This window comes from Homo sapiens, chromosome 5 (assembly GCF_000001405.40).
Source record: "Homo sapiens chromosome 5, GRCh38.p14 Primary Assembly".
NCBI classification, from domain to species: Eukaryota; Metazoa; Chordata; class Mammalia; order Primates; family Hominidae; genus Homo; species Homo sapiens.
Window position 1 is genome coordinate 140,461,987 of NC_000005.10, and position 17,889 is coordinate 140,479,875.

Sequence of the window (17,889 nt, forward strand, 5' to 3'; positions counted from 1 at the left end):
TTTCTTATCTTTCTTCTTGCAATTTTTGGTTGAAGAAATAGAATGTTTTTCCATTAGGCTTCCCAGAGTATGGATTTTCCTGATGATATTGCTATGATTTTGTTTAACTTGTTTTTCTATCCTTTGGATTTTCTATAAATTAGTAGTTAGATCTAGAGACTTTATTGTATTCAGGTTTGATTCTTTTTTTTTTGTTTTTTAATGGGATACTTCATAGGTGGTATTTGTATACTTTCTTCAGGAGGTAATAAGTATATAGTTGTCTCTCTTTTTGTGATATTATTAGCCATTGATGAGCATTGCTTAGATCCATTAATTCCTTAGGGGTTACAAAGGGGTGATACTCTAAGTTCTTTTATTCCTTCTTTGTTTATTCCTTCCTTGACTATCTATAAAGAGAAACTTTCCCTCAACTATTTGCCTGTAAATTAAATACAAATCATCATATAAAAATGGCAAGAAAGGCCAGGCGTGGTGGCTGTAATCCCAGCACTTTGGGATGCCGAGGTGGGCGGATCACAAGGTCAGGAGATCAAGACCATCCTGGCTAACACCGTGAAACCCCATCTCTACTAAAAAATACAAAAAATTAGCCAGGCGTGGTGGTGGACGCCTATAGTCCCGGCTACTCAGGAGGCTGAGGCAGGAGAATGGCGTGAACCCGAGAGGCAGAGCTTGCAGTGAGCCGAGATGGTGCCACTGCACTCCAGCCTGGGTGACAGAGCGAGACTCCATCTCAAAAAAAAAAAAAAAGAATGGCAAGAAAAATGTTTGTCTTTTTTTCCCCCTTTATCTGCCAGTTTCCAAAGTGATGAGGTAGTCCCTTAGCATCCTTCAAAGGTGATCAGTGAAGTGTTTTTTTGTTTGGTTTTGTTTTGAGACAGGGTCTCACTCTGTTACCCTGGCTGGAATGTAGTGGTGTGATTGTGGCTCACTGCAACTTTGAACTCCTGGGCTCAAGGGATCCTCTTGCCTCAGCCTTCCAAGTAGCTGGGACTACAGGCATACACCACTATGCCCCGCTAATTTTTTTTTTTATTTTTTGTAGAGGTGGGGTCTTGCTTGTTGCTTAGGCTGATCTCAAAGTCTTGGCCTCAAGCAGTCCTCTCACTTTGTTCTCCCAAAGCGCGGAGATTACAGGCATGAGCCACTGTGCCTGGCCCTGTTTTTTTGTTTTTTATTTGAACATCATTTTGAACTTTCAGATTTAAATATATAAGATGGCCTTTACTTCATCACGGTCATTCTTTGTGATGTAAAAATTGTCAGAAGATGGGACAGTTTGAATATCTTTGGTCAGTAAGGTTAGCTCCTAAATCCTTTTGACATGACCTCATTGTAGTCTCTGATAGTTTCCTTGCTTTCTCATATGGCAAAGTGTTCCAGGCTCATCTTGTACAGTTCCTGCTCCAGCCTTGGGATCAGTCATTTTTCTAAGAAGCCCTAATTTCATTATTTAGTAAATGGTACTTAGAGACCACAATCTAAGCTAGAGATGCTATTTATGCTTATTTAGTCTACTACCATTGTCTCTAGGCTTTAGTTGGTCAGGGCTGGGGAATATATATTTTTCTTATAGATCAAATATATCAGGAATTCATTGGTCACCTTCGAAGGATGCTAAGGGACCACCTCAGTACTTCCAATTCAGAACCACAAGGGTTTTTTTTGGTTTTGTTTTGTTTTTGAGACAGAGTCTTGCTCTGTTGCCCAGACTGGAGTGGAGTGGCATGATCTGGGCTCACTGTAACCTCCGCCTACTGGGCTCAAGCAATTCTCCCATCTCAGCCTCCCAAGTAGCTGGGACTACAGGCATGTGCCATCATGCCTGGCTAATTTTTTTGTTTGTTTGTTTGTTTTGGTAGAGACAGGGTTTCACCACGTTGCCCAGGCTGGTCTCAAACTCCTGTGCTCAAGTGATCTGCCCGCCTCAGCCTCAGCCTCCCAAAGTGCAAGGGTTACAGGTTTGAGCCACCATGCCTGGCTAGAACCACAAGATTTTTACTTAAGTTCAAGAATCTTATATCTCACCTAAGGTTGGGAGTTCAAGACCAGCCTGGCCAACATGGTAAAACCCTATCTCTACTAAAAATACAAAAATTAGCCAAGCGTGGTGGCATGTGCCCGTGATACCACCTACTCGAGAGGCTGGGCCAGGAGACTTGCCTGAACCCAAGAGGCAGAGGTTGCAGCTGAGTCATGCCACTGCACTCCAGCCTGAGCGACAGAGTGAGACTATCTCTCAAAAAAAAAAAAAAAAACTTATATCTGTGTTTTCCCTTAACCATGCCCAAAATTTCTGTTCTCACGAAATAATTGCTCATTTGATTTATACCACAATATCCATAGAACTGTCTCTGAATACAAACCAAAAGTACCACCAATATGATTTCTGAAAAATGCTTAATATTTTTTGGTTTTGCAGCTCTTTTATTCCTTAGGGTATATCTTACTACTGATGTAAGGGCAAATTACTGTGTTTTAAAATCATTTGGTTTAGTTCTTTTTGGTATGACTCAAATTATTTTTATAAAGCATATTTAAAGGAAAACTAGTATACTTAAAATGCATTTTGATATTTTCACATTTTGAATTCTTCAGTTTCACCAGATTGCAAAATTGGACTATCTAATACAATTTTACAGTTCACAAAGTAAATGTATGCTTTTTTGTTTGCTAGGCGCTAATGTGCATGCTACAACAGCAACAGGAGACACAGCCTTAACCTATGCTTGTGAAAATGGACATACGGATGTTGCAGATGTTTTACTTCAAGCAGGGGCTGATTTAGTAAGATATTTTTAATTTCAAATATTTTTGCGTTAATGTTAATATCCATTTATACTTAACATTTAGAAAACACTAAAGATCAATGGTTTGCGTACTTTGTATACAGTAACTTAAAAAAGCTTGGCTACCTGTTCTAGTTGTTGTATGTATTAAATGTATTTGAAAATACTTAGTGTTGAACAGGGCATACTGTTTCTTTTCCTAGGTAAAACTACTAGTTTGTTTCTTCCTTTCACTCCACCCCCATTTGACATTCCTGTGCTTTTTAAACTGCCATCTGTTAGATATATCATAAATTCAATGATGTGTTCACAGAATAGAGTAACAAGTCAAGTCACTTTGAGTGATTTATTATTATTTTAATTGACACATGATAATTGAACATATTAATGGGGTACAGAGTGATATTTCAATACATGTATATAATGTGTAATTATCAAATCAGAGTAATTAGTACATCCATCATCATTTTGAATGATTTCTGTTGTTTCTCTGATTAGACATTTCAAAACAAAGCTACTATTGTTAATCATCCTTCTAGTACATTCCTACAAATTCTATTCTTTTTGTGTTTTCTGTTTTGGTTTTTCAAAATTTCAAATTAGGTGGCAGGTTCATATGTGTAATAATCTATATAAAAATAATATTCCATTTAAATGTTCATGCCTCTTGCTGAAATGTGTGCTTTGCCTAGCTTTTATTTTGTGAGAGTGCTTTAAACTGCTTCCTAGAGTTTTTCCCAGAATTCTCTGATACATTTCTTAAAAACTTATGTGTGACATACATAGCTGTAAATGTTATAGAGAATTAGATTTCTTAGTTTTGCTTATTTAGAAAAAACTATGCAAGTATTACCTTTTAAATCATCCAAGTAGATACCTGAGAACATTATTGGAAAATAATTATTAACCAAAATAAATGTGTAGTATGATTGTTATTTATTATCATTTCTACTAATACAAAATATTGTAATGAAAACACTATCATTCATTCTTATTAATTAGGACCTTCCCTATCAGTTATAATTTTTGGGAGGTATGCTTTTTTGTCTGAGAATTGTGACAGCAATATATGTTAAGTACATCTTAGTCTTTTGACTTCTTTCTATATCTTTTTCCTTTTATAGAGTTGCTTTGAGTCGTCTATAAAAATTAGGAATTGAAGTTTGTCATTCAAAATAAAGAAATAGAGTAGAACTTAAAAGCTTAGATAATATAAGCAAAATTTAATACTCTTATCCTCTAAATTCTTACCTGGATTCTCTCTTCATTGTATTTTCTACAACAAAGTCACTGTCTTAACCTGTTGGGAGTTCTTCTAAAAAATTGAATAGGGCTGGGTGCAGTGGCTCATGCCTGTAATCCCAGCACTTTGGGATGCCGAGGTGGGTGGATCACCTGAGGTCAGGTGTTAAAGACCAGCCGGACTAACTTGGTGAAACCCTGTCTCTACCAAATACAAAAAGTTAGCTGGGTGTGGTGGCACATGCCTGTAATCCCAGCTACTTGGGAGGCTGAGGCAGAAGAATCAGTTGAACCCAGGAGGTGGAGGTTGCAGTGAGCCTAGATTGCGCCATTGCACTCCAGCCTGGGCAACAAGAGCAAAAACGCCATCTCAAAAAAAAAAAAAAGAAAAAAATTAAATAGGATAAAAGAGGAGCTATCTGGTAAATGTACTCTAATGTATAACAAAACCATACTGATTGTGACCAAGTTAATATCTGTTACATTTTTAAATATTTTATTTTTACTGTCTTCTGGAATTAGTTAAAATAGAGTGTTTATTATTTAGTTCCTTAGAAGAACTACATTAATTGAACAGATAGAGCTATTTGAACTTACCGTATTTACTTACTTTCAAAATGTAAGATTAAAAATGGCCCAGATAGGCCAGGCGCAGTGGCTCACGCATGTAATCCCAGCACTTTGGGAGACCGAGGCGGACGGACCACCTGAGGTCAGGAATTCGAGACCAGCCTGGCCAACATGGTGAAACCTGTTTGTACTAAAAATACAAAAAAATTAGCCGGGCATGGTGGCGGGCCCCTGTAATCCCAGATACTTGGGAGAATCACTTGAACTCAGGAGGCGGAGGTTGCAGTGAGCTGAGATAGTGCCATTGCACTCCAGCCTGGGCAACAAGAGTGAAACTCCATCTGGGAGAAAAAAAAAAAAGGCTCAGATAAATACATATCTTAATTATTCAATACAGAAGTAATGCCATTGTTCTAACATAATTATTCATTTTTATCTTGCAATCTATTTTTACATTCATATTTACATGAAATTATAGACACAATATATAATACAGTTGTTTTCTATTTTTTCACTATGTGTTCTTGTGTTCTATCATAATCTTTACCATATTACTATATAGTCTCTATAACTCTTGCATCATATTCCATCAAGTTGATGAACCATACTCGTTCATTAATTATGGAACTTTTGCTTTTCATTTTTCACTATTACAAATACTGTTAGATTTAATAACTCTATATGTATAACTTTTTACCTTTTCTTATTTTGAATTATTTTATATATTGATTTTAAGTTTTAAAAATGTATAGCCTCTTCCATGCTTTTGCTATTTGTGGACTGATATCTTAATTTTAATATTATTTCTTTTCCTCATTATAAAAAGCAATACTGTTCTTCATATAAAATGTGGAAATGCTGGGCTTGTAGTCCTAGCTACCAAGGAGGCAGAGGTGTGAGGATTGCATGAGCCCAGGAGTTAAAGGCTGCAGTGCACAATGAGCATGCCTGTGAACAGCCATTGTATGCTAGCCTGGGCAACATAGTGAGACCCTTCTCTTAAAATAATTTTTTAGGAGAAAAAGAAAATGTGGAAAGTATGGGAAAGTATAATAACTTTTATATTTAAAACCTATGAATATTTGTGAGTAAAATTTGTGACAGTGAAAAAAATATAAAACCTATGAATAAATTTTATTTCAGGCTTTATTGTAGGCCAGAGGAAAGAAAAAGTTCTAGTCAAAAACAGGGAAACCTCAGAGTAAAGCAGGCAGATTAGTCCCTGAGTCCTGGGAAAAAGTGACTGGTAATTCTTATCAACTTTATCTTACAAGGCAGTACCATCTTACTTGTCCTTCATTCTTTGCTGCTGTCTTCTAATATCTGTTTTGGGCTATAATAATTTCCTCCAGCAGTTTGCAGATAGAGGACTGTCCATCCCCCATTGCATGCAGTGGAGATGTATTTCATTCCTGGCATCTCATAGATATGTTCTCAGTTTAAGGTTTAAGTGTACTAATTCTTTTTTTTTTTTTTTTTTTTTTTTTTTTTTTTTTTTTTTTGATGTGGGGTCTGGCTCTGTTACCCAGGGTGGAATGCAGTGGCACGATCTCGGCTCACTGCAACCTTCTCCTCCTGGGTTCAAATGATTCTCCTTCCTTAGCCTCCCGAGTAGCTAGAATTACAGGTATGTGCTAAAATCCAGCCTGGGTGACAGGGCAAGACTCCGTCTCAAAAAAAAAACAAAAAAAAACAAAAAAACAAAAACGTAGTTTATCACTGACTTACCTCTGTAACCATAAAGTAAGCCCTCTGACCTTTGTTGCTTTCTTTGGACTGTATTCTGCTGACTGAGTGAACTATATTGGGCATTTTCCAAAAATAGTTGAGCAATTGGAAACTAGGTAATTTAGACATGGGTACATTAGTACTCTGTAGTTCTTCTTCCTGGAACTTATTTCCTTTTAAATGAGATTTGATATGGACCTCCCTTAATAGAAAGAAAAATATCTTATGGATCAGTTTATTATCTGTATTAAATCTTATAAATAGAAAACATAGACCCAAGTCCTCTTTTATAAGATTTTTTAAAAAATTTAAACAATATATTGTGTATCTCTCTAGACATTTCTGTATACCCAAAATATGTACATTTAATATATGTGATATAACATCTTTCCGTGTTCCAGTAGATTTCCCATTCTTTTTCACAGGTACCCAGTGTTCTGTATAATTTATTAACCATTTATCTACGCATAAACACCTGAGTTAATAGTTTTTAAATATTACAAATGGTGCTGCAGTAAATATTGCTAGGCATATTTATGTATCTTTGCTACTTTTGTGAATATATATAATAGGGATAAATTCCTGGAAGTGAAATTGCTGGTTATAGGGAAATATTTGACTAAAATTTTATTGTTTCGGGAGGTCCACATCTGAAATTTTGATAACTATTGTCAAACTGTTCAAAAATCCTGAACCAGTGTACATCTCTGTTAACAGTTGATCCCTCCTGACTCTCCCACATTCTCACAAATATAAACTGATTTCTTCTTTCTCCCCTCCTTCCTTCCCTCCCTTCTCTCCTTCTCTCCCACCCTCCTTCCTTCTTCTTCCTTTTTTAAACAGTTTAATTTTCTAATTTCTGATCACAGCCCCTATGTTTGCATTATCTACAAAAATCTTCTTGCCTGGCACAGTAGCTCAAGTCTTTAATCCCAGCTCTTTGGGAGGCCAAGGAGGGCAGATTGCTTGAGCCCAGGAGTTCAAACCAGCCTGGGCAACGTGGTGAAAACCTGTCTCTACCAAAAAAAAAAAAAAAAAAAAAATTAGCCGGGTGTGGTTGTGCGTGTCTGTAGTCCCAGCTACTCAGGAGGCTGAGGTGGATTGCTTGAGCCCAGGAAGCGGAGGTTGTAGTAAGCTGAGATTGCATCACTGCACTCCAGCCGGGGCAATAGAGGGAGACCCTATCTCAAAAACAAACAAACAAACAAAAAAAACTTACTGTGCTACAATTAGCCCTATTAATTGCTCCCAAAGTTTTAGCGAACTATAGAAAACACAGGAATAAAATTACTTTCTGGAAGTATGTGAAGACACCATTTACAAATAGATTTTTAAAAATCAGATATTTATTCAGTATCTATTGACTTCATTCTGAAGGACAAGGAGAGTAATATATCTTTCACCATAGAATTTTCATGAGTTATTTTAATATTCTCCTGGTTATACATTTACATTCTGATTTAGGACCCTATTTCTCATAGTTATTTAAATATATATATATGTGTATATATGTATATATAATATTTAAGTGGATTCAGTTTTTACATTACTAGTCTTTCTTATTATATAGCTTCATGATTCCTGAATTCCTCAACTTGACTTATCTGTTGGCTGGCTAGTACTGGTATTTTGATTTGAATTTATTCTCCCCCTCAAAAAAGGAGTTAATAGGTGCTTGCATATTTTAGAATACCATATGTTGTATTTATAAATGAATGTAGCCATGTATGAAATTATTGAATCACTTGTTCTTTCCCCTCAAAATTTTAAACCCACTATATTAGTGTCTTCTGGTACTGAATATTGCCAAAGCCTGCTAGACTATTCTGTATTATATGTAAGTGTCTCCTTTTTCTGTCTGGATTATCATAAAATTCTTTCATTATACTTAAACATCTGATTTCATCAGGATGTATCTTGTGTTAATTATTCTATTAATTTTCCTGAGAAACAGTGAATACTTTCTGTCTGAAGACTTTAATAAGTCATAGTCTTTAATAAGTTGTCATAGTATTTAATTTTTAAAATTTTTTTTTTTTTTAGTGGTGACCGTGGGGTGATATTTTCTTTTTTTTAAAGGAAGGTTTCTTTCTGCTATGTTTTTGACTATTTATTTTTCTATTCTGTTAACGTCCTTCAAGATATTTACCATTCATATGTATGGTCTCCCTCATCTCGCTTGTTTGTATTTGTATTATGTTTATGTCTAATACATTTCTTTGTCCTTTTCTTCTGCATTGTGTCTTAAGTCTGTCATCCAGGTCACTATTTTTTTCTGTATACTTGTTTCTGCTTTTTTTTTTTTTTTTTTTTTTTCTTAAAAGGGACAGGGTCTTGCTTTATCTCCCAGGCTGGAGTACAGTGGCATGATCACAACTTAATACAGCCTTGACCTCTCAGTCTCAAGCAATCCTCCACTTCAGCCTCCTGAGTAGTTGGAACTACGGGCACACACTGCCACACCAGCTAATTTTTTATTTTTATTTTTTGTAGAGACGGGGTTTCATCATGTTGCCCAGGCTAGTCCTGAACCGCTGGGCTCAAGCGATCTACCCACCTTAGCTTCCCAAGTTACTGGGATTACAAGTATGAGCCACCATGACTGGCCTGTTTCTACTTCTAAATGTGGTTTTCATGGCTTCACTGTTACTGCTCCCTTATCTGCAAAGCTTGGGACCAGAAGTGTTTTGGATATTTTTTTTGGATTTTGGAATATTTGCAGAATACATACCCATTGAGCATCCCTAATCTGAAAATCCAAAATCTGAAATGCTCCATGAGCATTTCTTTTGAGTGTCATGTCAGTAATCAAAAAGTTTCAGATTTTGGAGCATTTCAGATTTCAGGTTTTTAGATTAGTGATGCTCAATCTGTATTTAGTTTCTTCTATTCTTCCAATTCACTTTCCAGTCTTTTGTTTTATCACTTTGTTCAGCTATTTAAGTAAAGATTCCCTGTTCTCTTCAATTTATTTGAAGGTATTGGGGAATATTTGACTAAAATTTTATTGTTTGTTTTGTAGGAACTTCTTGATAGGTTCCATGTTGGATACTTTGTGCTTATTATTCGTATTTTAATGGGACTGGCTATTTATTGAAATAGGGGGTGAAATAGGGGTAAGGTGGCAGGGAAGAGGAAGTGAGCCTTAACAGTTAGCTTCTTAAAATCATGTAGTTGTCTCAGGATACTGTCTTGCTGAATCTATACCATAGGAGCATGCACTTTCTTAGGATAAGCACATCACATAGGTAGGAAATTGGAATGACTTAGAGTGAAGCCTTCTCTAGGCCACATTTCCTTTATTTGGAGATTTAGTTGACTCTGGTCAATGACTGAAAAGCTTCTTATGGTTTCCTAAGTTGTATCCCTGTCTCACCTTTAGATAGTTTCTCTCTGTTAAGAGTCTAGATCTAGAGAAAATACAAACATTCCATTTCTCAAGTTCTTTGAAGGTTCTTGTTTTAGTTGAAAAGTGGAAGCCTTAAGTACATTTATAATGAGGGGAAAAGCTATGTAACTATTTATCTTACAGTATTTTCCTCCGTCCTCCCAACTTCTGATATGCCCAAATCTCTTGATTTCATTATTTTCTTTGGTTAGATATTTTTAAATGTTGCTCTGTTTTTGTGGCTTTGTTTTTTGAGACAAAGGCATGAATTTAAATAATTCTGCAGAAATATTTCTACATATATTAAGATTTATATTGAAGTTTTATTGGTAAAAAACCATAATATCACCCCCTTAAAAAAATTTATACTCTGCTCATGACATTACAGTCTCTACAGATGAGAATCTTTTTAGTTGAAGATCCTGAGTTAACAAAGCCCACCATCTGAAGTATCGGTCACAAGGTCTTCATGGCCAAATGTGATTTTCGTTTTTGGAATAAGATCCGTGAGTTCTTCTTTTTCCTTTCGCAGGACAAGCAGGAGGACATGAAGACTATTTTGGAGGGCATAGATCCGGCCAAGCATCAGGTGAGGGTGGCCTTTGATGCTTGTAAGCTACTACGTAAAGAATAGATGTTGTAGGTAACCAGAACTCTGGATATCTGAATTCCAGCCAAGAAGTTCCAGGACCCTGCTGGGTGACAAAGGAAATCCTCTTCAATTGAAAAAGATTATGAAGTCCCAATAAAAAGAGATTTGTATTGCTGGTAGTTTGTTTCCTTAGTCTTCTTTCTCAGTGATATTCCTAAAAAAATCTCTTAGGTGAAAATAGATTTTCTTATTCAGGTAGTTCTTTTACATTCTCCTTTATTGGGAGAGTTAGTATACCGCAGAGAGAAAGTCTCAGTAATAAAGTCCTTTGCATTCAACTTTGTTCATCAAAAATCTGAAACTCAGAGTGATATTAATATATTGGATTGTTTTAAAAATAATACTCAAATAAACAAAAAAATTAGTTTAGCAAAACGTTTACTATATAGTTTATGCCCTAATTTCTATAAACTAGAAGTTTAAAATTTTCTTCTTAAAATTGTCTCCTACTATTCTGAAATTGGTTTTTAAGAAGGTGAATATTTTTTCATAGGAAATATTTCTTTTGAAAAAATGTGTGAATTTGTGCCCAGTGGTTTTAAAAGTCAAATAAATTTAATATCCATTATAATCCAAAGAGATTTATTTAAAATCAGGAGCAGTTTTTAATTTTAAAATTATTAATGAATTGTGATTAGATCACAAATAACTTAGGCCATCTAAGTTTCTTTTTTTTTTTTTTTTTGAGACAGAGTCTCGCCCTGTTGCCCAGGCTGGAGTGCAGTGGTGCTGCAATCTTGGCTCCCTGCAGCCTCTGCCTCCTGGGTTCAAGCGATTATCCTGCCCCAGCCTCCCAAGTAACTGGGATTACAGGCGCGTGCCACCGTGCCTACCTAATTTTTTGCATCTTTAGTAGAGACGGGGTTTCACCATGTTGGCTGGGCTGGTCTCGAACTCCTGACCTTGTGATCTACCCGCCTCGGCCTCCTAAAGTGCTGGGATTACAGGCGTGAGTCACCGTGCCTGGCCTAAGTTTCTTAATTCTAAACCCCTCTTAATCATGATGCTTATTAAGTGTCTTCATCATTGGCTTGTTAAATGAGAAGCTGTTTTATTTATTCTGTTGAGATTTTTAAAAATTTTTTAAATTTTTTTTTTTTGAGACAGGGTCTCACTCTGTTGCTCAGGCTGGAATGCAGTGGTGTGCTCTTGGCTCACTGCAGCCTTCCCATCCCAGGCTCAAGTGATCTTCCTGCCTCAGCCTCCCCAGTAGCTGGGACTAGAGGCATGTGCCACCATGCCCAACTAATTTTTTTCATTTTTATAGAGATGAGGTCTCACTGTACTGTCCAGGCTGGATATATTTATTCTACTTTGAAGTAAGTAAGTTTATTTTACAAAATGTGATGTGAACATGTGAGCTTCTACTCAGTTTGTATAATATTATAGGCTCCTATCAAGAATGTAAAGCTGAGTGTTATTTCAGATCAAAGTAATTGTTTTTCCCTGGATTTGTTAGATGAAATGTAATTGTAAATCTTTCTCTCTAGCTGCAAGTCTCAAAACAGGATTTTTTTAAAAATGAGTTTTGCAGCCCCACGTTTACAGGTTCAGATTCCATAGATCTGAAATAGGGGGTCTGCATTTGAACTAATATCTCAGGAGATTCTGATGACAAGTTCTCCATATTTTACACTTTGAGACATTGGTAGAGGCCATACAGATTATTCTGCATCATTGCTGAGTTCTTTTCTTTTTCCATCTTTGCTTTATAATCGATCATTTTTCCTCCATCCAAATTGAATAAACTTGGTTTTTCTCTCTGTTACTTGTGATTTTTAGAAAATGTGCTAAACACAAGCCTTAGGACCAGTGCCTCTTAACCTTTTATCCATATCAGTTCTCCTGAGGGGTATGAATCCAATCAGTAATAGTAGATCACTAAGGTAATGATTAATATACAGTGGTGGGTTGAAGGAACATACTCCCCATGGAAGAGTATTGGAATCCTCTAGTACGTACAGTATCAAACAGTCTCCCTCCTTTTCTCTGTGATTTTGGTCTTTCTCCTTAGAGAATGTCCTCCCTCCAACTCCAAAAGACATTGCCTCTGTGGTATAGTTACAGTCCTTAAATATATGTCTTGGGTGCCCTGTGGCTGTGATTTTTTAAGGGAAATTAACTTATTTTAAATAAAATAAACTTAATTTAAAATAAAATTTTGTTATCTAAAGCCAAATAGAAAAAATTCCACATTTTTTCTTACAGTGCTCATTCATCAGAACCTTTTTTTTTTCTTCTTTTTTTTTTTTTTTTTGGAGATGGTCTCACTTTGTCGCTCAGGCTAGAGTACAAAAGCGTGATTATAGCTCACTGCAGCTTTGAACTCCTGGGCTCATGGCATCCCCTTTCCTCAGCCTCCTGAGTAGCTAGGACTACAGGTATGCACCACAATGCCTGGCTAATTTTTAAATTTTTTTTCAGAGACAAAGTCTTGCTATCTTGCCCAGACTTGTAGTGTATTTTTTATAGATATATTTTTAGGGAGCTTATGAGCTCTAGTAATCTACTTATCAATGTATTTCAACTGTTAGTAATTACCTTACCTTAATAAACTTTAAATGTGACCTTACCTTCCACTTTTTAACTTTTTTATTAAGGAATAGCGTATATACATATTTTTAACTTTACTACTTAAAACTAGGAAACTTCTGTCAATTTCTTAAAAATCTAAAACTACCTATGGAATACACAAAACTCCTAATACATTTCTTTTAAAGCCAAGTTCTCTCTTTCTATGTTATTGTGTATTGAATGAGTTCTTTTCAGCTCTCTCCAGGTTGTTTAAATATAAGTACAAATGACTTCAGTCAAGAAGGTAAAGTCATTATTAGTATATAGAAAAATGAATCTAAAAATATGTAGTCGTGCCCCAAAACAACAGGATTAAAGATCTCCGTGGACTAGAAGTGCAGCATGGATCCACAGTTTAAGCTGTAGTCCCAAGGAGAATTAAGGGCTAAAAAAATACACAATGGGGGCTGAGATTTCAGCATGTGCAGAGGAATAGGGAATGAATGCATTTCACATGTAGTACATCAGTAGATCTAGTCTACTTGAATAAAGCAAGGAACCGGCATCTTATTGCCCTACCTGTGAACCAAAATGGATAAAAAAATATTTGATCAACTATCTAGGGTTATGGTTAGAAATTAGCAAATTGTCATATCCAGGTTGTATGTAAAAAACAAAACAAAACAAACCCAAAAAAACTAAAAAAAAGGGGGGAAAAATTAGCAAATTGTCGTTAATGGAAGAAACAGAGACAACTGTGTAACTAAAAACTTGGAGGACAACCTTCTTGATTTAGGGAACAGAAGTGAAATATCTCTATGAGACAAGAACCTTAGGTGTCCAGCAAAATATCTACTTCTGAAATGGACTCCAAGAGCCAGACTGAGGGAACTTCCAAAACATCTGATGAGGAGTACATCTGTGGATGGAAAAGAAACTAAAACAAAACACCTCCCATCAAAATGAGTTTCCTCAGTAAAAAAATTATAAAGCTGGAGAGCGAATCTTTATCAAGAAAGATAGTCAAAATGTAAACAAACAAAAAGCAAAATATAATACACTCAAGGAAATTGAAATAAACTTTAATCTTGAGAATTATGAACATGTTTATTTTAAACTATGACCAGTAGCCATAAAACAATGTGAGATAATAAAGCAAAAGCTGATAATTACGTATTAAGAACAGGTGGATATAAAATAAAACTAAAAGTTTTGGGGGGTAACCTCAATATATAGGGTAAGACAGCATATTAGACACAGTTGAATGCATTAGTGAATGAGTGATAAAACAAGAAATAATACAATAAAATATATAATGAAATATAGTAAAGAGATAGAAAATATGAAAAAGAAATTGAGAGAAAGAGAATAGATTAGAAGCTCCACCATATTATCTACTAGAAGTTCCTGAAGGAGAGGATAGAAATGGAGGGGAGAGGAAATGTTTGAAGAGAATGGTGGAGAATTTTCTAGCATTGTGACTAGACATGAATCCTTGACTGAAGAATCATATCCATCACTAAGCAGAACAGATGAAACTGTGGAACTTTAAGGATAATGAAAAATGTCTTAAAAGCTATCAGAGGAAAAAAACGCATTACCTACAAAAAAACAACCATCAAAGTTTTGACCTTCTCATCAGCAATAATAAATTACAGAAGATGATGGGAAGTAATATCCTCAAAATACCAAGATAAAATAACAATACAGAATTCTGTACTTAAGTACCATTCTAGAGAAGGAAAAAATAAACATATTTTCAAATCTACAAAGAATAAACGAATTACCATCATTAGACCCTTGACAAAAGAACTACTAAAAGATATATACATCAGTAAGAAGAAAAGTGAGTCCTGGAGGAAGGCGTGGGATACAAGAAACTACGGTAAGCAAAGAAATTGATAAAACATATTATAAATACAAATGTTTGAGTTTAAAAACCTAAATTTTAATGTTTAAAACCAAAGTAGTACTAAAATTCTAGAAAACAATAGCAGGAAATCAGAAGGATGTGTTAGAGAGTTTAAAAGCCACGCTAGAGTCTTTTGTTGTTGTTCAGGAGGAGAAGGTACTGAATAAAGTTTTTTTTTAAAGAAAAATAGAATCGTAATCAGAACAAATATAAAGCTATTACACTCAATTGTTAAAGGGCAGAGACTTCTGAATTAGAGTCAGAATCAAAATGTAACAAATGCTGTTTGCAGGAGACAAACCTAAAGCAAAGTGATGAGGAAAGCTTGACAGTGATGGGAAAAAATTATGTAAAGCAATATTAATATCAGACAAAATGGAATTTTAAGCCAAAAGCACTTTTAGAAATGAATACTCCTCCAACTGAGAAAATAATTACCAATCAGTAACTAACAATCTACCATCCAAATAAAATATAAAACTGCAAAATTGCAAGAGAAATGGTCAGATCTGCATTTGTAGTGGTAGGATTTTTTTCACACACTTCTCAATGAAACTGATGAATCAAACATAAAATGATTGTTAAAAATCAAACAATTTTTTATCTTTCATAAAGCTAGCATTCTGTTTCCAGTAAATATACTTTATATTCTTTTCCAATACATGGAATATTTATAAAAATTGTCCATGTTTTAGGCCACAGAGAAGTCCGAAGAAACTCCTGAATCTTCATCACATGGACTACATTCTCTGATCTCTCTTGCCTTAAAATTACACATCAACAATAAAGTCTTCTTTAATTCCATACATTTAGAAATTGAAGGAAAATACTTTTTCTTTTTGTTTTGAGACGGAGTCTCACTCTGTCACCAGGCTGGAGTGCAGTGGTGCCATCTTAGCTCACTGCAACCTCCACCCACCGGGTTCAAGAAATTCTCCTGCCTCAGCCTCCCAAGTAGCTGGGATTACAGGCACCTGCCTCCGCGCCTGGGTAATTTTTGTATTTTTAGTAGAGATGGGGTTTCACCATGTTGGGCAGGCTGGTCTTGAACTCGTGACCTTGTGATCCACCCGCCTCGGCCTCCCAAAGTGCTGGGATTACAGGCATGAGCCGCCGCGCCAAGCCAGGAAAATACTTTTATAAAATTCATGGGGTTAAGAGGCAATACAGTAAAAATTACACGGTAGAAACTGAGTTACCAGTGCACACCAAAACTTGGGTAGGGAGAATATACCTAAAGTTGTCCTTAGAAGGAAAATTGTAGTTCTGTATATCAACATATTAAAGATGAAAATAAAATTTAAAACAATAGCACAAAGGAAGAAGAAAATAATAAAAGCAGGAGAACACCTTGTTCTATCATATATGGTATTCTGTGGTACATGATATTCTATGGTATAGAATGAGATGTTGCCCAAATGTAGGGAAAAAATATAAAAGCAAAAGTTAACACAATAGAAAATAATTTTAAAAAGAGATACAAAAAATATAGGGATGAAGAGTGAAATTAAAAGCTGGTTTTTAAAAAAAGACTACCAAAACAGATAAAACAAGCAAGCAAGGCTTTTCTTTCTTTTTCTTTTTTTTTTTTTTTAGGGGAAAAGGCACAGATAACAATAAACTTAAAAGTGAATTGTAATTATTTTATAAGTAGAGATCTTAAAATTCAATCAATAAATGTGAATGCTCAGGTGAAATGAATACTAATTTTTGCTAGAAATATATAAATTATCAAAATTGACTCTAGAATAGGAAACCATGTATTACAAATTGAATCAGTAGTTTACCCATATATAGAAGGTAAAGGTTCAAATGGATTTATGGGTGAATTTTACCAAATGTTCAGGGTTTTTGGGTTTTTTTGTTTGTTTGTTTTTGAGACAGAATTTCGCTCTTGTTGCCCAGGCTGGAGTGCAATGGTGCAGTCTTGGCTCACTGCAACATTCACCTCCAAGGTTCAAGCGATTCTCCTGCCTCAGCCTCCCGAGTAGCTGGGATTACAGGCATGCACCACCTTGCCCAGCTAATTTTGTATTTTTAGTAGAGATAGGGTTTCTCCATGTTGGTCAGGCTGGTCTGGAACTCCTGACCTCAGGTGATCCGCCTGCCTCGGCCTCCTAAAGTGCTGGGATTAAAGGCATGAGCCACTGAGCCTGGCCAAGAAATAGATACTTTCTTTCTTTATTTTTATTTTATTTATTTTTTTTAATTTTTATTTATTTATTTATTTTTAAGATGGAGTCTTGCTCTGTCACCCAGGCTGGAGTGCAGTGGCACGATCTTGGCTCGCTGCAAGCTCCGCCTTCTGGGTTCATGCCATTCTCCTGCCTCAGCCTCCTGAGTAATGGGACTACAGGCACCCGCCACCACGCCCGGCTAATTTTGTTTTTTTTTGTATTTTACGGGGTTTCACCATGTTAGCTTGGATGGTCTCAATCTCCTGACCTCATGATCCCCCCCGCCTCGGCCTCCCAAAGTGCTGGGATTACAGGCATTAGCCACCATGCCCAGCCGAAATGGATGCTTTCTATATTATTCTAGCTGTTCTCAAGAACAGAAAAAGAAACATTAAACTGCATGATATTTAAGTTTGTAGCCTTGGAAAATAATTTTCTGCGTTTATGAAGGGAAAAAAATCAGAAACAATTTGTATCCTAAAATTTTATTAGTATTGAACAAATAGTGGCTATATGACTAAATCCAATGCTCATAAGTAGTACGATGTATACAAATTTGATTACCATTATATACATATATGCATTGATTCCCATGATATGCACACATATATGTATATACATACATTATACATATATATTCCCATTATTGATTCCCATTATATACATATATGTGTTCCCATTATATGTATGTATTCCTGTTATACATGTATATTCCCATTATATACATACATATGTATATATACATTGATTCCCATTATATACATACATAGGTATATATATATACTTATATATATACCTATGTATGTATATGCGTATATATGTGTGTGTGTATATAATGGGAATCAATGGGAATATATGTGTGTAATGTATATATGTATGTATATAATGGGAACCAATAATGGGAATATATATGT

General features: G+C 35.5%; 2 protein-coding genes across 5 annotated transcripts in view; both read left to right on the plus strand.

The window, feature by feature from the left end:
• ANKHD1-EIF4EBP3 (ANKHD1-EIF4EBP3 readthrough) overlaps nt 1–17,889 on the plus strand; it is a 147,744-nt gene that overhangs the window by 60,154 nt on the left and 69,701 nt on the right. Inside the window, exon 10 of the mRNA NM_020690.6 lies at nt 2,681–2,790. Coding sequence (NP_065741.3) covers nt 2,681–2,790 — 110 coding nt within the window. The remainder of the gene's footprint in view (nt 1–2,680; nt 2,791–17,889) is intronic.
• ANKHD1 (ankyrin repeat and KH domain containing 1) overlaps nt 1–17,889 on the plus strand; it is a 138,017-nt gene that overhangs the window by 60,154 nt on the left and 59,974 nt on the right. For 2 of the 4 annotated variants that reach the window (NM_024668.4, NM_017978.3), the window contains exons 10-11: nt 2,681–2,790; nt 10,253–10,491. In NM_024668.4, the coding sequence (NP_078944.2) occupies nt 2,681–2,790; nt 10,253–10,354 (212 nt within the window). In that variant the 3' untranslated portion in view covers nt 10,355–10,491. Of the gene's footprint in view, nt 1–2,680; nt 2,791–10,252; nt 10,492–17,889 lie in introns of those variants that run through there. The other 2 variants (NM_017747.3, NM_001197030.2) reach the window with 2 other exon arrangements.